The 23,595-nt window shown below is 35.5% G+C and overlaps 1 protein-coding gene across 2 annotated transcripts in view, besides 1 other annotated feature; it reads left to right on the top strand.

Annotated features, from left to right (window-relative positions):
- The window catches only part of SLC7A11 (solute carrier family 7 member 11), a 78,253-nt gene that overhangs the window by 35,627 nt on the left and 19,031 nt on the right, over window positions 1–23,595 (top strand). For both annotated transcript variants that reach the window (NM_014331.4, XM_011531802.4), the window contains exons 7-8: window positions 21,479–21,602; window positions 23,418–23,521. In NM_014331.4, the coding sequence (NP_055146.1) occupies window positions 21,479–21,602; window positions 23,418–23,521 (228 nt within the window). The remainder of the gene's footprint in view (window positions 1–21,478; window positions 21,603–23,417; window positions 23,522–23,595) is intronic.
- Window positions 15,995–16,054: an enhancer, noted in NCBI's record as "active region_21910". NCBI's record gives its function as "activates an Ori minimal core promoter by ATAC-STARR-seq in GM12878 lymphoblastoid cells {active_cell/tissue: GM12878}" and the evidence as "EXISTENCE:reporter gene assay evidence [ECO:0000049][PMID:35858748]".

Raw genomic sequence — 23,595 nt, 5'->3', positions numbered from 1 at the left:
ATAAAAAATACATTTTGCCCAAAGATAGTTTGTTCATATAAGGCTGAAGTGTCAAATAAGTGGTGCAGAAATTATAGGATTATATTATAATATTTTATCATGGGGTAATCAAAGAAGACAGATATTAATCCTTCAAGTGCTTTGTGGAAGCTATTTAGCTTTTCTTTCTTTCTTTTTTTAATTGTAAGGATTCCAATTCCACTATGAGGCAAAATTTGAAGGGCGATGCTTTACTTTCTTTCATAATAGTTGTTTGAAAGTTCTAATTTTAATCTCATTGAGTTTTATATTTTGAGGCAATATATATAAATCTTTTGAGGCTATATATATATATATATATAAATCTCATTGAGTTTTATATTTTGAGAACAATAAACTCTTGTTTTAGGAGCAACAACAGTGGCTGGTTTAATTTTATCCTATCTTTTTGTTCCCTTTAGCTGAGAGAGAGGGAGGGAGGGAGAGAGAGGGAGAGGGAGAGAGAGAGACAGAGAGAGAGAGAATACAAGTGGTGTGATGAGTAGAATAATAGAATCACAGAATTTCAAAATTAGAGGGGACCTTGAAGACCATCTAATCCTTTTTAACCAGATGCAGAGATCTTCTCTATAATACCTTTACACAGCAATAATTCATGTATGATAAATTGAGAAACTCACTGTTAATATAACTTCCTTGAACTGGGCTATCAGCCTTTTTTACTTCCTTATGCTGGTTAGCAACCTGCTAATTGCTATGACTATTTCAAGCCTAGATAAATTTTTGGTTAGCTGGCATAAAAGATGGGTCAAATATTTTGACTGCAATAGATAACAACCAAAATGAGAGTTAAATAAAGTACACCAGAGATTCCAGAGTTGGAACCCTGTTATCTGAAAAGAAATACCTTCCATAATCAGAAGCATTAAGTCAGCCATTATATTGTCTCCAGCTTTTCAGTCCACACTTACATAGCACCCCTCATTCATATTCTTATTTATGCACGTAAGCTACCTTTGTTCTTTTCTATATGTCTGGATTTGAAAGTTAGGTGATTGTGACCAAAATGAGGTTCACAAATAAAGCTTACATTCTGTGTCATACTTGGTGAAAAACTTCTTAGACAACTAAAATCTAGTCCAAGGCCTGGTGCTGTCTGGGCATTCATGCAGATGCAATGTTGTTTAAGATTCTCACTGAAATAGCATAATGTCACATGTAGTTCACTAAGGGTAGAGACAAGATGCATTCAGGTTATTATATTTACACACACCATGCACTGAAATCATTTTGATAACTTTATTCTAGTCACATTCAAACACTGACTTAGATTATTGATCTACTCAGGAAAATGAGCAACTTTTGAATTTGGATAGACACAAGCTAAAACTGTATTACCAATGTAAACATCTAAAATGAACCAAATGAAGTTGAGACTTTCCAGTGAAAAAAATATTTTCTTTACTTATATGAACTATAGAAACATCTACTTGCTGAGTCTTTGAAAATAGCACTGGTTCAGGAAATCAAAATTCTAATCCTGTCTCTTTTTAACTAGCTGTTTGACCTTGGAGAGACCTCTAAATTGCTTCCGAATCTTTGTTTACCAGTTTTAAATGGAAGATGATAATCCCTATATTATAGTTCTCATGGGGTTGTGAGGATAAAATATGTGAAATTCAAAAATGTTAATGAGCTCTGCAAGTAATATACAAACACCATCTGCAACCAAAACCTATATTCTTCAAAGATTAGAATATTTTATAATCTTTGAAAAAATTAGAGGATTAGCATAATTGTTTTATGAATAGGGAGTGCCTTTTCACATACATGACCTATTAATCAGCTTGAAAGGTTGTTCTGCATCATCAGCAAAGTGCCCAATTATTAGTAGTTAAAAGGTTCAGAAGATGATGGGAATCGCTATTTATTTTATAGTCTACTAACCTCCCTCAGGTGACAATATGCTCACACATCGTAATCAGAATGACTTCCTGGCAGATTTTTTTTTTTCTTCTTAACCAAATATTTGTATGCTCACACCCCTATTGTCATCGTCACTGTTGGCTGGTTGTGCTGATATAATGGATGGACTGTTTGCGTTTCTACTGAAGTCACCTATTTTTAGGTTTACTGTCTTACCAAGAAACTCCTTTACGAAATCTGACAAACAAGATCTTGATCTGAGTGGCTGGCATCATGTATTTTAATATTTTATTTTTACTTTTTCTAGAAAAGGAGCTATTCTGTTGATACAAAACAGAAGAATACAAATACAAGTCCACTCCCAGATAATTTTTATGCATTTTTGCTTAATTTAAAAATATAAGCCCATTATTAAAAATACAAACAGTATCTGCTTTCTGACAAGTAGATTGATTGCAGCGTAAAAGTAGCACCTCAGATTACTTTTAATAACATGATGTATATTATCTTCATTCTGCGCTGTAGAAAGCTGAAGTTCAGAGTAGTGAAGTAATTTCTCATGCCCATGTAGTTAGCCAATGAGAAGACCAGAATTGCAATCCATGTTTGCCTGGTTCTAGAGCTCATACTCTTTCTAACGCGACAGCTGGTTTTTGGGAAAACAAAGCTGATCCATGAGGGTACAAGGTGAATGGCTAAGGAAGTAATTTTGCTATGGAAAAGAAAGTTGGAGGAAGAGTAGAACCTAGAAGAGTAGAACAGAGAAGTGAAGATGTCTCGGGCAGCGGGTGAGCATACATACAGCCATAGAAGAATTCTTGGTTTTAGGGAATAGTATGTAGACTGTTTTGACTAAAGGAAAGGATTGTGAAGAGGAGTCAAAATCAAGATAGTAGTAGGATGTGGATAAGGGGATACAGCAACTCTTAGACTCTACTATAAGAATTTTGCATCTTATCCAGTAGCCAATGGTGGGATGGAGGGTGGGAAAACTGTTGCAAGTTTTGAATCTATGGGAAGCAGTGCTTGGAGACAATTAACTTTATGACAATTTTAGTGGATTTTCCTCTTGTGACACATATGCAGTTTTTAAAAATTTATAGTCCATGAAGATATGTTTTAGTTTTATTTTGCATGTTTATTTTGCTTTTTAATAAAAGCAAGTAACTCTGTTAATTGCCTCATACACCTGCATCATTGCTAAAGTCAGACAATATGATAAATCATGTGGCAGAAATTATGGCAAACAGCACCATAATCTCCACACTGTCCAAGTCCAAAGATATGGATTAAACTGCTTAGAGGAAAAGGATGCATCAGCATAGTGTTTACGTACTATGCAAAAATATAGAGCTATCTTTTTTTAATGAAAAAGATACTATCATTTATTTTCCCTGACAATGGAAGAACAAATGGGATTTAATTAAATAAGAATATAGTTCATTTTAAAATTAAATTTATATTTCAAAAGCATTGAAATGAGAATTTGGTTAGGCATTGGAATTCTCAAAATAGAGATAAAAAGGATTATTGTTTAGCCACAATTTAGGGGATATTCAGGTTGAAAAAATGACACACTAATGCCTAAATATGTTTCTAGTTCTAAAATATTATAGTTATCTTTTTAGATTACTGAATATATGAGAACAAATGTAGGGAAGCATGCCTTACACCACAGGCCTATTTTATTGGGGTGGGGAGGGAAGAAGGTGTCACGTACTTTTAAGGTAAAGGAAGTCCTTAGTTAGATTTTCCTTTTTCTTATAAGTGTGGTAAGGTCAAATAGAAATCTTAGGTCAGAGTTTCTAAATATTTTAAATAAGGTGTATTAAAGATCTGATTTTACTCATTTCGTATTCTAAGTGAAGGGCAGGTATAAGGAAGAGAGTAAAATAGCAATGCCAGTGCAGGATATGAGTCAGCCTGGGGACAACTGGCACTTCCAGGCACAGTGAGCATCACACTGGTGTTGTGAAGGTAGCTCTGCACTTGGAGTCAGGTGGCTACAGTTTTAGCTCTTGTTTTGTAAATATTTGATTTTATGTCCTTAGCTACATCTTTTGTCCTCTCTGAGCCTCTGGGTTATCGGCTGCAAAAAAGAAATGGTGGAGTAGCAAATTCTGAGTCTCCCTTCAACTCTAGTATGTTCTATGATTCTTGTCGATGACACACGAGTACCTAGTTTGACAAGGAGAGTACATGACTATGGGAGCATGGCTGAAGGGTGGAAATGTAAACAGAATATCTGTCTTAGGGACACTTTAGAAAAAGTGTCAAGAACATGAATCAAGAGAAAGGGATGCTATGGCCATTTTCCAGATCCCATGATGGTTAGGAGATTAGGCAGGACCAAAGTTTCCTCAGTTGTCTCAGAAAATGTTAAAAAGTTTGAATGGGTAAATGGAGGAAATGAGTCCAAACTGGCACCCCTTCAAAATGGAAACTTAGTTATTACATCTGAAGATCTAGGATCATATCCAACCTATAGAATTGAATTCTACTTAAGGGATCACCTTAAGTAGAGTGTCTTGTGATATAAGGAGTGTACCAGGAAAAATATAGATTTTAAAAATGCTTGTTAAGGGTGCCATTAATGTGGTATAATGATGAATCCCTAATCCTATTTACTACTTTTATTATATATGCCCACAGAAGATATAAAATGGTCTGTAGCCTCTGTGGTCCAGAAGGTTTATATTAGTCTTTTATTATGTGATTCATTATTTTTCTCAAGAGCATAGACATATGGGATTGCCCATAAGTATCCATAGATGCAATTATATGAGAGGAATCTTTTCTGATGGGTCTGCTACATTTCAGTATTAGACATTCCCCATAATTTAGTTAGGATTGCATTTATATATTTCTAATATGCTGCATACATAAAGAAAGAGAGGGAGCGATCCTTGTCATGACTTTCAAAAGTCTGCATTAATTCATTCCTTTTCCCACCTAAGTGGGTATTCTAATGCTTACCTTAAGATCGTTGTGAGAATTAGATATAATTTATGGCTGTGTCTGACAATGCTTTGCTCATAGTAGATACTTATTTAATGGTATGCTTTTTATTGGTATTAAACATCATGTCATTAGTTCATTTGTCACCCATAGGGACTATCAGATCAGGATTTGTGGACATGGGGAAGCTGTTTCTTTTCTTCTGTACTGCTTGACTGTTGGCTTTGAGAAAACCCATTCTCACGAGGGAAAAGACACTCTTACTTGAAACACCCGGCCATGGGAAATGACAATTATCTCAGTCTCAGAGTTGAAGCATTTCTAATCTCCAATGCTGGAGGTTGTTTTTCAAGAACATACAATATTTTTATAATTGTTTTTCTAAGGAGACAGGCTCATAGTTTTTTAAATCACATGGTTTTCCTGGCTATTTAGTGCTGTACCATATTATCTTTCTTTCCCTTTCTTATATGCTTTCTCTTAAAATTATAGAAGTGGAAGAAATACATCTTGCTGTGACAAAAGCTTAAACAATAACCCGTACTGATACATATTATTGAGAATGCAGTGATCAAATACAAAGGCCACTGTTTTATATATCAAGCTGTACAATACTATATGAAAAATAGTTCATGATATCAAGTTCATGGCATAGCATTAAAATAGGCCAAAATATGTAAAAACTAGAGCTTATAATACATAGCCATATAACACAAAATGAGATATTAAAGAATAGAATGTATGATTTTATGAGCAAAGTCATTTCTAGGTCCTGGGAGACTGCCCCTTGCACAATGCTTTTCTTGGTATCCCAAGTCCCACCTCTTCCGAAGAATCTCTTCTATTGGCTTTTCATGATGCTATTTCTTCTTCCTCCCTGATAGTCTATGGTCATGGCCGTTCTCTAAGAGATAGATAGCAAAGGATTTATTATAGTAATGTCTCTACATTTCAAAATGGTTTCAATTATCATATTACCCGTGTGTACAAAGAGTTCTCTACTTGGTTACCTTCTTCTATTCACACATTGACTTGGCTTAGTGTATTGGACTCATTGTCATAATTAAAACCACAATTAATTTGACCTTGAGAAAATAAATTGTCAAAGCCTGTGATGTTAGAGTTAGGAGGGGAGGAACCATCAAAATTCACAACCCTTTTATTGTGAAGCTAACGAAATAGAAGCCACAGAGATGGATTAATTTGTCTATATTTATAAGTTAAAATCCTGATCCTTTTCTAGTACTCTTTCCAAATGCTTAGTGTTGTTGAATAGAAATCTAAGAAAGATGGCTATGGCAAGATTTTAGCCTTGAAATTAGCTGGGGGAAATGTAATCATTAGAAGTGACCTCTATGTCATTTGAGAATAGAACAAAACTGCTTTTAAAAATGTGTCAGAGCATTAAAATTTGCCTGCATTTGACTTTCTAAAGCTGTTAGTCAAATAGATAATGAAAGAGGGTGCTAGGCTAGTTGAAGTAAGTTAATCCATTTCAGGTCGTTTACTGAAGGTCATTTGGTTAGAAGATTAAAATAGAAAGTTTACAATTAGGAAATGCTGAAATGTTAGAATATTATAAGGAAATAGCTGCTTTTTATTGTCTTTAACATCTTTACAGATACACTGGCTCTTAAAATAGGTTAAATATCATTTGTGGAGGCAATATTTAATTTTTCTGTTATTGATATTGTCAAACAAAGTCTCACTTTCTATATTCTGGCCTGAGGCAAGTAAAAGAGAAATTGAAATAGAAAAGAAGATTAACTTTGTTTTCAGCCAGAAAATGACAAAAAGAAACGAGGGAGATAGACAGCAAGTGGAGGTCATGATTTTAAGGTACTATTCGCTAGCTGCTCTGGGTCTTGTGGAAAAAGGTTAAATGTGTTTTAAATGTATGTAAGTGTTTAGCTATTTATTCCTCACAGTGCAGTGTCCTCTTGCCAAGGAGAAGTGATCAAGTGGCAAATGTTGGGGGAAAGCCACTAGAAATTGAACTCAATGATGTCTTTCTCTGAGCTGCGGAATTGTTTGTCTTTATGCCAAGTCACAACGTGGACTCTGAACTGCAGCAAGGGAGAAATCTTCAGTTTGAATACATAGGTGCTTTTCAAACCATTGAGTTTATGATGCAAGTCTGTGACTAGGCAGGGCAGGTATTTCCTGTTCTCTAAAAGATAGTGCTAGTTCTGCTCTATTGCTGCCATTTCTATAGCAATACCTGGGTGGAATTCCCTCCCTGCTTAACCCTGCCTCCTCCACTCCCTGCCTCTGATCTATGCGCACTTAGAAACACAGGATATCCTGATTATCCTGTTTCAGTATTTCTCATAATGGACACATATTGTTTATTCTATTTTTAAATGACGGGAACACAAATCTCTACCCAGTAGTTGTGGTCGATGATCCATTTAGTCAAATGAAGAAAGGAAAATTTATATGTATTCTGTACCTTATTGGAAGTCAAAGTAAAACTTTATGATTGTGGTAAGTATTTTCAGTAACAGTATATAGCATTTCCTCCTTTCTTTTAATAATAATAGATAAACAAATTTAAAATGCCAAAAAAATATGATGAAATTAAAAATCACCTGTAATATCTTAATCACATCAAATAAAAGTACTCACTGTTATTATTTTGATATTTTGTTTCCCCCACAGTTTGTGCGTGCGTGTGCATATATGTAGTGCATTATATTGCTTGAGATAAATGTAAATGTGCATTTTTCTTCCTAACTTTGGTGTTATATAATGTATTTACTTGTTTGTTTATTGTCTGATTCCCAAGGCCAGGGCTTTGTCTGTATCATTACTGCTGTATCCCTGACAGCTGGAAGGTTCTTCCAAGTGTGCCCTGCCATTTAGATTTGCTGCATCTCAAGCTCAACTCCAGCTCTTTCTACTTATGTGCTATAGATCTGTCTCACCGTCTTCATTTCATGTCATTTTATTATATTTTCGTATATCACCTAGATGTTAGTTAAGAACATTTTTAATGCTAGTATAATATTTCTTTGTGGGGATGTGCCAATATTCTTGTGCTCATTTTCTTGTTGGACATTGAAAACATTCCTAATGTTTCTTAATGTATTAGGTTGGTGCAAAAATAATAATAATTCTGGATTATACATTTCATATATAAATCCTTACATATCCAATTATTCTCTTAGAATAGATTGCTAGAAGAGAATTGCTGTGTCAAAGGCAACAAACTTTAAAATGGTCTGTCTATTATCAAGTTGCTTTCCAAAGTGGATATATTAATTTCCTCTCCCAATAGCAATAGCTAAGAATACTTATAGTGTTGGGTGTCATTATTTTAAAAAATCCTGGTTAATTGAAAGGCAAAAATTACACCTCATGGTTTGAAAATGCATTCATTTGATCACCAGTGAGGCTCAATACTTCCAGCATTTTTAGCAGCTACACGTGGTTACCATTTTGGAGCATGAATATTGGTGATTCATCAGAATTCTTTGTATATTATGGGTATTGATTCTTTATCTATTATATTATTTGTAAAAAGTTTGTCCCAGTTTTTCACATTACTCAATTTTCTTTATGATCACAGCTTACAAAACTTGTGGTTTTGTTTCTATAATTTGTAGTTAGATATAATAATCATTTTTTATTTCTGTATTGCTATTATGATCTGCAAATTTTTACATCCCTAGATCATTTTCATCTCACCCATATTTTCTGTTTGTTTGTTTTTTCTGGTTTCTTTTTTACAGCCCACTCTTTACCTTATCTGGAATGGATTTTTTTTTTAAACCTGATATAATATAGGCTCTTGACTTTCCCCCAATTTTCTCAATATCCCAGTATTAGCAAATAGTCATATTACTCCTTAGTTTATGATACTTACATTATATTATATTGATGATACTTTTTATTTATTATATTATATTTATGATACTTACAATATATTACATTGATACTTGTCATTATAATAATAAAATTAATGTATTTTTATGTTATATACTAAGTTGTATTTCAAGGCAATCTATTCCACTTGCCTTTTTATAGATATATCAACCAATTACTATATAATTTTATTAAAAGTTTGTAATACTCTTTTTTAATCTGAAGGGAAAAGTAGCCTCAATTATTATTATTTTTCTCTGAATAAGTCAACATTGAGTATAACTTGTATTTGCATAGAGGTCGTTTTTACTCTTAGCTGTTCAAGTGGATGAAGAGAATCTGTATAGTGCTTTTAAATTTAAAGCTCATGGTGTTTCAAATTATCTTGGTAGTGTTATCTCTCATAATTAAATCTGCTCTATATAAAGATATAGTCCATGTATATGGCTGAGTCTTTTATAGTCCAAAATTTATTTTTCTGTGTACTATGGTTTATTAACTTGACTTATTTTTCTTCTTTCAGATTTAAAAAATGTTAACTAATTAAAGTAACTTCCCAAGTACCTACCAATGACATTAATCTTCCTCTTTTTGTCTTTTGTTCTTTTTACCCCCAAATCCTATTAATACAGCAACTTTTTAATATGATTTTCTACTTTTCAGAATACTTCTTAACAACATAGCAAATGCCAAAATGTTAATGGAAGTATTAATGAAAACATGCAAAAAATATTTCTTTATGATTCTGATAATTATCGAAATTGCCTTAGATTAAACATGAATAAATTTAATTATTATATATGTATTCAAATAGTTGGATATATAATCCTGAGAAAGAATCCTTCACTACATATGTTATAAAAATGGTAATGAACACATTACCTAAGAAGTCTGCACTAGAAATAATAAGATACCTTTTCATTCTTGACATCTTTCTTCTTTTTGAACCAAGTATCTGTAGAAAAATATTTGAATCAAATTTTAATGAAATTCTTATTAGAGGTTTGCTACTTTTCTCACAAAATGGCAATATTGCCAGGCACGGTGGCTCACGCCTGTAATCCTAGCACTTTGGGAGGCCAAGGTGGGCGTATCACCAGAGGTCAAGAGCTTGAGACCAGCCTGGCCAACATGGTGAAACCCTGTCTCTACTAAAAATACAAAAATAAGCTGAGTGTGGTGGCAGTTGCCTGTAATCCCAGCTACTCGGGAGGCTGAAGCAGAAGAATTGCCTGAACCCAGGAGGTGAAGGTTGCAGTGAGCCGAGATTGTGCCATTGCACTCCCGCCCGGGTGACAAGAGTGAGGCTCTGTCTAAAAAATAATAATAAAATAAAATAATAAAAATTAAATTAAATTAAATTAAAAAAAGGCAACATCAATGTAAGCCTATTTCATAACAAGTCTTTTTTTCCCCATGGTGCTTCATCCTCACTTGGTATATTCTAAATATGCATACACAAAACACAATTGTGTTGCTCTTTCAACTTCAGTCGTCACGGAGGGAGCTCAGTATTTTGACAAGGAATGTGAACTGGCTGTTGTATATTTAGAAGTGAGTCTTCCTTGTGCTCCTTTCCCTTCCAAGTGTTGACATTATTTCAGTCTGTTGCTATTTTTCATTGGCTGGTTTCTCTAGATTAGTGAGGCCTGATCCTTTCCATGGCACTCACACCCTGTTTGTACCCAACTCCCCACTGGTGGCTGCTGGCTGATCACACCATGCTGTTTTCGTGTTTTATGGAGAAGTGTTCAGGTGTGGCTGCTGTGTTTGATATTAAATCTGAGATGAACTTCAGGAGATTTCCTGCTTTTTATTACAAATAATTTTGGCTAGGGGCAGTGTTATCCTGTTCATAAATCAGGTGTTCTCAGAGATTTAATAATTTAGAATTCACATGAGGATTTGGTGGAATAAACATTTCCTTTCTCTGTTAAGCTGCCTCTTAACTTTCTATCTTCCCCTTTCTCTTCACTGCTTCCATTTTTTTAAGCCTTCTTTAAGTCTTTGCCAAAAATAAAAATAATAAAAAATAAATAAAACAACAACAAAAGAGGCCAAAGAAGCCAGAAACCCTTTCTGCATGTGGTTACAAGACACATAAAAAGCAGAGTTATGCTTGAGGATAACAAACCGTCCTGACAACCCTTCTCAAAAATGTTTGCACTAGAGATTTAGAGGAAACACTTCAAGGGCCCTTAATAATGCTCATTGAATAGTCTTAATATTTTTATGGAATTGGTGAGTATGAATACATAAATAAAGATGTTTGAAGAGACTATAAGGAGTCAGAAGATGTTTTAGTTTATCTTCATATTAAAAACAGTAGGTAATGGAGAGACCCAGGGTGGGAGACCTACTTAGAAGAAGGAGGTAAGGTTTCCCTGAGGAGGGAGACTTTGATCTGAGAAAAATGGGGGCAACCATGTGAAGATCTAGGGGGAGCAGCATGCCAGGGAGAGGGTCCTCCATGTCTTGTTCTGTTTGAATTTTAGATTCCGTGAGAGGATGAATTTTTGTGTGTAGCTGATGTCTTTATCCCTTTGCTTATTATAATGTCTAGCATATAGAAGATATTTAACAAACATTGATTAAATGAATGAACTTGATATAAAGAATGTTAATAAATGCAATGGGAAATATCCTCCTGAAATTCAGATGGTTTTAAAAACATTTCTTGCAATAAGGTTTTGATAAAAGCTAAGGTTGTAAGATACAGTGACTTATGAAGACATTACGTGAAATAATACAGTCAATGTATGTGACCGTCCAGAGGTCTGACCTGATCCCACAGACAGCCTTTTTAGAATGCAGAAGAGTGAACAGATCACTTATCCTTTAAATGATCTTCTGTAATGATCATTATTTTTCAGCCAGGCTGACACTTTGAAGTTATAATGATGGAAGGTACTTTGATGTGCTGTACTGCTGCTTGAGGACAGAATCACATCTTCAGAAGACAGGAGAAGAGATTGTAAAGTTGGCATCCTATTCTCTCCTGTGAATGACAGAGCAAAATAAATGCAGAAACTTCCTTAGGATGCTCTGTTACATGAGCAAGTGGGCTTAACTGAGTTTTCAAAGAATTCTATTAAACAATCTTTAGGGATTAGCTTTATGTGCTAAAATTATTAAATAATGAACTTTCAAGAAAACGAACTTTAGATTTCATTAATTCAACACCCTTGTCAACTCATGGGGAAGTGTAAGTCCAGAGAGATTTGGTAATCTGTGTTTCTGCTAGTGATGGGGACATGACTAGACCCAGACTTTTCCATAATTCTGTGAAATCAAGTGAATACAAATATCAGAGACAGAACTCCAGAGAAAAGATGTCACCAAAAGACAATTTACATTTGGGATGGTATATATAGACATTTTTCTTGGTTGTGGGAATTTAGAGTATAAAGCTGAGGGAAATGATGGAAGCAAAGAGAAATTAAGAGATGGACAATTGTATGAACCACTTTTGTTTCCCTTGGGCAGAGAGTCCCTGAGCCATTAGATAGTGGCACTTGACTTGAGAAAAATGTTCCTAAAGAGAGGGACATGAATCTTTGTAGTCTAAGAAAAGGCATTAGTAAATACAAAATGAATGCACAAAAGCTTATTTTTCAAAAGTTTTAACTTTTGAGCTGAAAGATAAAAGATCACAACATTTCCATTTCTGCGGGGAATATGAATCTTTATAAATGGACAGCCTGAGGAGAGGAGAGGGAGGGCTTACAGGAGGTTCTGCCATTCTGAGAGCCTTTGTGACCTTTTCAGGAAACTGTCAACTGTTCCAACCAGGAGTCTTCATCACCACTTTCTTGACAGTGACATATTATCTCTCTGAACTGGCAGGGTGCTTAGCCCATCAACTCTGTTTTTTTCTCTTTCCCACCTTTCCCTCTGCTCCATTCAGCTGCTATGTCATGTCCTCTGTGGCCTTGGCATGTGGATTTACCACTTTAACTAAAGCCAGGCCATTTCTATTGGCTTCCCTATCAATTTTATACTTTTCCTACTAACATTAGCTTCATTTGCTAAAATTATTTTTCCCTTAATTACTCTAAGAGTATGAATAGAGATTTATTGCAGTGAAAAATTATTTTCAATTTTAGGGTCAAATATGTGCATACATACCTATATAATCATTCATATTTAGGCATTTTATAAAGCCAACTCATCTATATTTTATTTATTTATTTAAGATGAAGTCTCACTCTTGTTGCCCAGGCTGGAGTGCAGTGGCACAGTCTTGGCTCACTGCAACCTCCGCCTCCCGGGTTCAAGCGATTCTCCTGCCTCAGTTTCCCAAGTAGCTGGGATTACAGGTGCCTGCCACCATGCCTGGCTAATTTTTCTATTTTTAGTAGAGATGGGGTTTCACCATATTGGCCAACCTGGTCTCAAACTCCTGACCTCAGGTCCACCCGCCTCAGCCTCCCAAAGTGCTAGGATTACAGGTGTGAGCCACTGCACCAGGCCCAATTCCTATATATTTTAAACTATAGGAAGCCAGCATTGGGTCCACAAAGTGATGTAAAGACATGACTTTGAGCATCTAGAACAGTGATTTTAAAACCTACCTCAACTACTGGAACACATCTTTCTTTGATAGAATGTCAATACATAAAACTAGTAAGAGAGGACTCATCTGGTTGAAATGAGTGAGAACAGGATAGTCTATAATCCCATTGCTTATCTTATATTCTAATTCCCAGAGCACCCTACTTGAAAGCCAGTTGTTTAGTTGATCACTAGATATCAAAGTGAAATGATCAATATTAGTTGCACTTGCCTTTTTTGGTCAGAAATGTTGGAGGCAATTTTGGGTGGTAGAAGCAGTAGTTCGTTTGGTGGGATTGAATGTCTCCATGTTTACTTGTTTCATTTCTTATTATGCAGCAGAAATGTGATGGGGCCTGGTTGTGTGTGTATAGTATAAGTGTTGTCAGTTCCTTCTAAGACATGCGTTTACTGTCTAAGGGAATTTTGAACCTCATTCCCATTTACCATGCCAAAACATATATATCTATTTTATGTTGCCTTGTTTTTAGCATAAGAGTATATTTACTTAACGTTGCTTGTCTTATTATGAGTCCTTGGGCAAAACAAGAGGCAATTGTACTTTGTTCTTTGTTGGATGGGTGGCAGTTTTCAGAAATGCAACAGATTTTTAAATTTCAAAATAGCAAACAATGGGGTCTATCTTTCCTCTGTTTTGGGGAAGTAAGAATAATAATTATTTTCTCTCCTAGCTTTTAAAGATGAAAATCAGTTTTTATTTGATATTGTAATTTAGGACATCATTTTAATAATTTTATATCATATGCTTGTCTCATAAATAATATACTATACAATAAAATTTAATGAGGACCCACTTTAAGTCTTGTATAGACTAATTAAAAGCTACAAAAAAGTCTTGATATAATGAGGTCCTTCATTCTTTTATTAGTTAGAATAATGCTAGCTGTTACAACAGACAACCCACAAAATTTCAATGGCTTTAAACAATCAAAAGTTTATTTTTAAAAATTATATAACACTCCATTATTGGTGTCCCTGGCCACCAGTAGGCTTTCACGTTTATTCTGTGACCCGTATTCCTTTCATCATGTGGCTTTGTCATGCTATAGGTCCTTTGCAACTAGCTCACTCAGGAAAAGAATGTCACAAGGTGACACACTTAACCACCTTGGTCTTCAATGACACATCTACTCACATTCTGTTTGCAAGAATGAGTCACTTGCCCCTCCTAGATAAAAGAGGGGCTGGGAAATGTGGTGTCTGTTTTGGTAGCTGCTTCTCATAAATAACTTATACTTTGGAAAGAGAAAACAGACTTTTGGTGAGTAGTTGGTTGTCTGAGCTGTAAATCTGAATCTTAGAAACACTATTATAAAAATCGTTTACCGAAATGTTGCATTATCTTAGTGTTGTGTAGACCAAATCCTGAGGAAAATAATAAATTTTTTTAAAAAATTAAAAACAACCTAAGAGATACAAGAATTGAACATCAGTGTAAAATTTAATTTATTACTATTAAAATATTTTGTGTTCTTAGTTTTTTGTTAGTATTTTATTTAAAACCAATTTTGCTTTTGTACACTAGAACTTCCCTACAAATATGTTTGTGTTTATCCATGATAAATATGGATAACTGTAATGTATCTGGAAGACAAACTCTAAGTCTTTAGAAAATGAGAAAAAATGAGATGCAGACAATGCAAATTTTTTGTGTGTATGAAATGCAAGCAAATGAAAATTTACTCTCAAGCTACATTTTGCTGAATAATTTTATTTAGTCATGAATTTATTCTAATAGTAGAATAAAAATAATGAATAGATAAAACTGCTTATATTTATGTTTCTGATTGCTTATTATTCCATATTCCTGAGTTGTGAGTTTTCATTTTAGTTCATTTCTCTGTGTGGTGGTGGCTAAGAGTGACCCTTCTGGCCATTTTTCTATGTGGCTTTGCTGCACTTTTCTCCTTCCTTTATGCATCTCTGCACATTTTTCCATGAGCTTCCTTCAACCCTGCAGTCTTTTAATCTTTGTCTGTTCATTTCTTACATCTCCCTACAGGTCTCTCTGTCTTCTCTTCTTTTATGGAGTTCTTCATCTGTGGACAATGGAGAATGGTGAGATTTAGATTAGACATCAGTGGTATTGAAATTTAAAATGTCTCAGTGAAAACACCCATAGCCTTGCCGTGGTTCAGTAAGAAGCAGAGGGCAGGTGTTTGATGCTGGAAATCAGTGAGATCACTGTGCACATTTATGTAACAATATGCTCGGCCCATCACTTTGTTCAGCCTTGGCCCAGAATCATCATTAAGCATGAACATGAACCACAGACCTTTAAAAAATGTTCATAAATAGGCTTATTGAATGTTTTCTTTCTCTTGCTATATTTTTTTCAGTGACCACCTATGCCTTCCCTGCAACTATGTGCTATGTCTCTTCAAATACATTTCATTTATAATGTTTTTAATAGCCAAATTCCCACTCAGTAGAAAACTAGAGTTACTGCCATAGCACTAAATGACAGTGAGGCAAAATCACTGAAAACACACAAAGAAATGTGTGTTCTTCTACAGATGCTCTCAGTCATCTGTAGTCCAATTTTTTTCATGTCTGGAAAACTATTTGTTTTCTTGAACGCTTACTTGTACTTCAATCCCTGCTAGAAATGTCAGAAATCAGAGAGGCAGATAGGACTGTTCCATGTCAAGGGGTCTCTGGAGAGTTTAGTGTGAGCAAGAGTCAGGGAAAGTATGTCAAAATGTATGGAAGAAAACTCATGTGAATGAAAAATACGGATAGCTTTTCTTTGAAATGTACTCATTTACTTTTTTTGTCTGCAACACATGACTGAAGTTTGAAGGGTAGAATAAAATTAACAGCTGTGGTAATAAGATAGAGTACTTCTGCAAAAAAGTAAATTGGTGGGTTGAAAAGAGAGAAGTGAGAGATGTTTGCGTCATTTCTGGGTCAGACCTACAGAAAAGCTTTCAAGGTCTTTACAGGGTCACTGTAAAGAAAATGTGAAACAAGTATGATTCAAAAATAAATGCTTTGAATCAAAAGGTACTTAATATAATTATAAGTACTTTATGTTGAGATAAATTACAGCTCCATGTCAATTGTATGTAAAGAAATAGTCCCCAGTTTCCCTTTATGTTTTAAATCTTACATTTTAAGGTATTTGCCATTTTTTGTTCTTCTTAATTTTTTCTCTTTCCCTCCTTTCTTTTTTTCTGAATGCCAAGTACATTTGTTAAAATATTTAGAATTTTTAAATAGAAATGTGAAGCATCAACCATTTCTCTCCAGAACACACAAATGTAGGTTTTGACAGAACTGCCTATCCTCATGCCTAGCCCCACAGCACAAAGACAAGCTTAGATGCCCCGGGATCCATGAGTTCTGTAGTCACCATTGTATGTGTCCAACAGAGGGGAGTGTATATGATCTATTTGGACTTGCACAAATCTCAGAAGACTGTATTCATGTTATAAAATAATCTTGAAATATCCTAAATTCAGACGATTAGAGAATTACTCATGTAATTCAGACCACTCATGTGGGCTGAATGTCAGAAATCCTTCTAACCTTCAGGTCTCCTTGACTTCTCTGGAGAATCAAGCTAGGTTTACTCATTTCATTTTCATAGCAAGGATCACTTTTAGCGAAAATGATGCACTGGAAACAATAGTCATTTCTGATGCTCCATGATAGAGTTGCAAAGCATGCTTTAAAAAATGCACCTTATTCTGCATTATTTGCAAGTTTACTTGTGGTGTGAATGTTTTTTCTACTATTTCTACTATTAGATGTGAAGAAAAGTATACTTGGCTTAAAATGTGTCACACCATGACAATTAGTCTTCTAATATTTGCCTCATTTATATAAAATATAATACATGTTTGTCAGCATGTAAAGGTCCTGGGGGCCTTGTACCTAGAGTTAAAGCAGGCACAAAGCAGCCATGACATTGTGACAAGATATACCATGCGTGTGGAACTCAGGGCCAGAAGAGGTGGGTTCTGGTTCCAGCCCTCCCGCTTACTACTTTTGTGACCTTGGTTATGTCACTCAACCTCTCTGAGCCTTGGTTTTCTTGTTTAAAAATTGCGGGTATTACTTCCTGTTTCCATGGGTTGTTGTAAATTTTGTTTGCCCATGCTCCTTCTCATTCCACAAACGATTTAAAATGACATGCATATATTTAAAGATAAAATAAGATGTATTTGCCAGTGCTTTGTAGATTATACAAACATAAGTTGCCTGCCATCATTATAGGGCCATTTTCATTTCTGGGGAGGCCTATCACTCGGAACAAAAATGCTTCTAAGCACATGTTTTAGAGATTTCCATTTAACAATTTCAAATAAAGCAAGTATGTGTGACGTAGACTGGTTGTAAGTGCCAATTTAAAATAAGCCCATAAGAAAAGAAGACTATCCAAGACCTTTTCGACTGAAGACCATTTACAACTAATAAAAATAGCAGACTCTCACATACTTAATGCCTGTTAATTGAAAAGAGCATATATGACAAAAAGCTGTTAGGATTAAGTAACTCTTGTAAATGGTATTTCGTTAGTCATAACAAACATGTACTAACATTTGAGAAAGAATAGAACTTAATTTTGTTAAGAGTGAGTCATTTTTACTCAGCTTAAAAATTATGCTTTTGTTGCATTTAGGATTGGTGGATACCTCACAAGAACACAGAGGCTTTGAAATATCCGTGGCCTACTGGTTCCTTCCTCTAATTCCCTTCATTATCAAGTGCCATTTGCCTTAATCTTGGGTTACTAGTAATGCTATCTGCGCTGTGCGTCTAAAGCCTCCAGAAAGATTGCTCAGGCATGGCCTAATAGCTTTTATCAGTTCACCCAGTGGCTCTTACACTTTGATACCTGAAACCTAGAGTTAACTGTGTAGGACCAAGCTCTTCTGAAGGAGTCAACTGCTCTCCTCTGTCAATAATGGCTGTTTATGCCAAAACAGCCAAGAGAACCTCCCCACCCCCTTCCCTCTGTCAAAGTGAAATGGAACCTAAGAATGGAAGCTAGTGGCTATTTTGCCATACCCCAACCAACTTGCTATTGCTTAATTCCATCTAATTATCAGCTGGGCGTCGTGGCTCATGCCTGTAATCCCATCACTTTGGTAGGCCGAGGCAGGAGGATCACTAGAGGTCAGGAGTTTGAGAACAGCCTGGCCAACATGGTGAAACCCTGTCTCTAATAAAGATAAAAAAATTAGCTGGGTATAGTGATGGGTGCCTATAATCCCAGCTACTGGGAGGCTGAGGCAGGAGAGTTGCTTGAACTTGGGAGGCAGCAGTTGCAGTGAGCTGAGATTGTGCCCCTGCACTCAAGTCTGGGCGACAGAGTGAGACTCTATCTTAAAAAAAAAGAAAATTTTTTTAAAAAAGAATAATTATAGAGAAATTACTGGATATGCTGTGCATTGCAACAAGATTAGACTCTTTCTCCTTTGTTTATATTTTAAGCTGTTATTTTTCTCACTAATATCTGTGTAGTATATTTGGCTGATAGTAAGATTGTTAGTCTGTTTCTGTTTATCTGAGGCATGGTTACCTTCCCTCCTTCTCTATAAAAAAAAGTTTTTTTAGGGAAATTTATTGTGAGCTTCTGTTTTCTTTTAAATAATACATAATTTTAAAATTCTATTTCCCAAACAGTGAAACGATTTGAAAACATTCACTTGACATTACAATTCATGTTACACAGAAAAGTGATAAAAATCATGAAATCAGTTTGCCCCCTTCTTTATGATAGATAAAACTGTAGTGTTAAAGAATACATGAGAAATACTAGTTTGATAAAAGCTCTAATAAACTTTATATTAAACAACCATGATTTTCCTTAAAAGTAATAGAGTTGAGGGACCCACATGCTTGAAAGTGAATACACTTTGGTGGTCCAAATGCCCGAATTTCAAGGTAGGGTGTGTATGCACCTGAATTCTGGGGCTTCCACTTACTAATTGTGTATCCTTAAATAGTTATTTAAGCTCTCGAAGACTTTATTTTTCTCATATATAAAATGTGCTGATGTTCCTAACTCACAGAATTTTCTAAGGACAAAAGGAGACACGTATGTAAAGTGCCTAATAAAATGTTGGGCACATAGCAGCCCAATGGTAGCAGCTGCTCCTGTTATTTTTGTTATTAACAAACAGAATGAAGGGAAACCAACCTAGAAGGTTAGATTTTCTAGGTTCCCTTCTGCTTAGATCAATTTAGGAAACGGCCCTCAGAGAGACTGTAATGTCTAGGCAGGAAACAGGCAGGGGGCTGACTTGGAGGAGCTGGACTGGGAAGGTAAATTCTATGCTGGGAGAGCCACAATCCCAAATTTCAGACTTACTTCTTTCTGCTATTTTGCAGCATCATGTGATGTGACCGTACTCTCTGTTTTGGATAGGTTACTTCACTGCAATTAATAATGTCACTTCATTTTTTATCAATGGAAACTTTATATACCTTAAGCATATGCTTGCAAGGAACAGAGAGTCTTTTTCTCTTCTTCTTTTCCTCTCTTCCTCTCTCCTCCATAGAAAGAATTTACTCCCCATATGGGGATCTTATAAAAGCTGAAAGGATTCAAGGTCAAAATAATACACTGAGTGGTTGAAAAGCTGTGTATACACCTTCATGTTCTCCTTCTTACCCTTTTGCATTTACAATAGCCCTTCTTACGAAGAAACAGAATTCATCTTTAATTTGCTTTATGCCATTTATCCTTTTATATTTGATTGGCTCAGTGATTTTCTTTACTTAAATGTAGCATTTATCAACCACAACTAGCAGTGCATGTTATAGTGTTAACAGAAAATTCCACAGGACCCTCTTCACACTAGGGAAGGGGACCATCTGCTACTTTCATATTAGGATGTCAGGATTTAGAGGTCAATGTGTTTCCTCATCAAGGCTGAAGGCTTTGGGAATCCGGGGAAGTGTCAGGCTCCAAGCAGCATAATGAATGACAGTTGCTGACTGGCTAGGCTAGCATGTTTTCAACAGGGGATATCGCTGTTCGGTATAATGTGCTGGGACTTAGTGTGCTAAAAACACCCAGCTTGGGTAGTGAGGCAGGCTGTGCCTTTTCCCCCCTGATTCTGAACTGCATTTTCATCTTGGAAGAAATTATATTGAGGTCTTCATTAGTGGCACCCAGCAGGGTGAAGGCTCCGTGAGGGCTGATAAGCACTATGGCTGAAAAACGATCAGCCTTTGTGCAGGCAGTTGAAGGTTTAAGTTGCCTGAACTGGAGAGAGTCTGAAGAGGCGATTATGTTAAGCAAGTAATGTGTATTGGTAACGTGGAATCAAATTATTAGGGTCAGTAACTTCCTGGCTTTCCCAGTGCATTAAATGAAGACATAATATTGCATTTGTGTCGGGTACTTCTTGATGCCACATAATGTCAGCACTGTCCGGTCGTCCGTACTTCACAGCATGTCACCTCTAATTTCATGGGATTATCTGCGCTGTTGCATTATTAGATACTCACGATCTTGAGCTTCCTTTGAACTCACAGCAGGGCAGTGCAAAGTCATTATTGTGAACACTTCTGTGCTTTCTTGTCTTATATACAAAATTATGGCCACATTTAGAAAGGTAGATATATCCCACTATCATACTTCCAAAAGTGTGCGTTTATTTGGTGGGAATGAAAGCTATTGATGGAAAAAACATTGAATGTGAAAAGTGTTTTAAAGGACTAGTGTTAGAAAGGTGTCAAGGCAGTGAATTAGTATTAGAAATGTTTATAGGACAGTGGTTCTCAAAGTGTGGCCTGATCAGCAGCCTCAGAATCACCTAGGAACATATAAGGAATGCAGATCCTACTGAATTGGAAACTGTGGGGTGGAGCTCAGCAGTCTGTGTTTTAACAAGCCCTGCAGGTGATTCTGATGCATCTCAAGTATGAGAAACACTGCTGTAGCATTTACGGAGTACATGAATGACATAAATCCATATGTTCTGGGGTATAGCAATAGACAAGACAGACGAAGTATCTGCCCCCATGGACCTTATTAAGTTACAAAGGAATATGTGGTTTTTTGCCCTGATGAAATGTTTATACATACCCAACAGAGCCTATAATTATTGTAGATACCATTATATTCTTCATTTGAATTAGCCTGTTATTTTCTTCGGTATCAGAGAATGGCTAACAAAAGATAATGAATAAGTGATTCCTTTGTGCATTTCAGAACCATTCCCCTTGCAATATGTATATCCATGGCCATTGTCACCATTGGCTATGTGCTGACAAATGTGGCCTACTTTACGACCATTAATGCTGAGGAGCTGCTGCTTTCAAATGCAGTGGCAGTGGTAAGTCCAAGTTGGGAAAATGCCAATTGGAATTTAGGTTAATGAGCTGATGCAATTTTATAGTAGTTCCCTCTAGCAGAAAGTGTTTTGAAATTCAGTAATCTTTTCTTGACCTGAATAATAGTGAATATTTAAAAAATTTAGAGCATACCTTAGCATATTCCATTTAACTGATATATCTAAATTCCTATATGATTTCCCATTATTTCTAATTTCTTATAAAACAGTTTCACACATACATGCTTGAAAATCTGCCAAAGCTTATTCTCCCAGCATGTCTTTAAAGATAGGTGGACAGTTATTGAATCTAAATAAATGCATTTTTTCTATGCAAATTACAATTTATTCTGTACACTTTCCTGTTTGTAAACTTTTCATATGCGAACTCAGAATCCTTTCCCCAAGTGTCACTTAAGAATTTTGATGTGGACCATATAAATTTGGTTTTCCTAGTATATCCTTTTGAATACTAGTCCTGCGATATTAATAAATTTAGGAAATACTGGGTTATTCAAAGTTAAACCGATGTTGTTATAATACTTCTCAGAATATTAAAGATACCAACATGCATTTGAACTCCCTAAGAAGTGGATACACATAATTTTATAGCATTTTCCAAAATTTATTTGACACTAGGACCATCTTTGTCCCCAAAGATCATGTTATAAGACTGTTATTCTGTGATACACTTTTATTTTGCATAAAACTTAGCTAGTAAGAGACCATTCACTCTTGACCTCATAACAATGAATGGTGAAAAGTTAAGTTCCCATTACTTGATGTCAGTTCCTTTTAAAATAGTTAGTATTACCTCATATCAGCAGCATCTACAGGGAATAAATTATCTCATTTCATTTGAACCTGTGTATGAGTTCACTACATTGAAAAAGACTTCGACCACTGCTCTAAGTCCCACCAGACAATCAAATATACAAAGCTTATTGAAGTCAGGTCAGTCATCTCATCTTTTGAGACAAAGGGCAGCACTTATTCTTTGGGCATAATGTGGCCCATTAATTGCATAGCACCAGCTGCATCAAGGACAACTAATGAATCCAACACATTTTCTTTTTTTGGAAAATACATCCTTCATGGAAATTTGCAATATCGCACATATCATGGCATAAAAGAACATTTTAGAAGTTGTGTTTATCTTTTAAGTTTCTGTGGCTTATCGGACTTATATTTGTGTTCTAGCCTTTTTATAGGAAACCACAAAAGAAATTGACACATACATGAGGGGGAGGGAGGGACTTTATAAACAGAGATTTAGCTAGTGTGATTTTCTGGGAAAAAGATTTTCAGAGCTACTCATGTATATGCTATAAATTATTAAGTCATCAATTATTTTATTTACCTCCTAAGAATGGGATTGGCATATGAAACACATATCTGTAATACTTCTCAGTGTATTTCAATATAAAATTTGGTTTTCCAGGCTAAAGAGAACGTATTATACAGAAAGATTTCTATCTCCAGTAGAACTTCTGATTTGAGCTTTTATCACTTGTCAGAGTCAGAGACAATACACATCATAGTTGATAAAGATTCGATAAATGGATCATTGCTTTTTGAAAGTAGAGAGAAGGTGCTTGTTTAGATCTTTGACTATAGTTTTGCAACAAGCAATGCCATGGTCCTTGCTTTTGATTATTGTCTACGGAGTTAGTCTGACCCTAACCAAAGAGAGAAATTATAAAACATACAAGTATCACCAGGCTAATAGAAAGTCATAGAGCAAGTTTGGCCTAAATTGTTTCATTTTATTCCACTTTCTGGCAAGGCATTAATTTGCTTCGTTCTTTCTTTCACTAGACCTTTTCTGAGCGGCTACTGGGAAATTTCTCATTAGCAGTTCCGATCTTTGTTGCCCTCTCCTGCTTTGGCTCCATGAACGGTGGTGTGTTTGCTGTCTCCAGGTGAGTGAGTTCATGTATTTCCAGAAACACATTTCTGTTTTTGAGATTGGATGTGATAAGGATAACTTTAAAAA

Source organism: Homo sapiens, chromosome 4 (genome assembly GCF_000001405.40).
Source record: "Homo sapiens chromosome 4, GRCh38.p14 Primary Assembly".
Taxonomy (NCBI): domain Eukaryota; kingdom Metazoa; phylum Chordata; class Mammalia; order Primates; family Hominidae; genus Homo; species Homo sapiens.
Note: the sequence above shows the minus strand (reverse complement) of the source record. Positions and strands in the feature narration are given on the sequence as shown.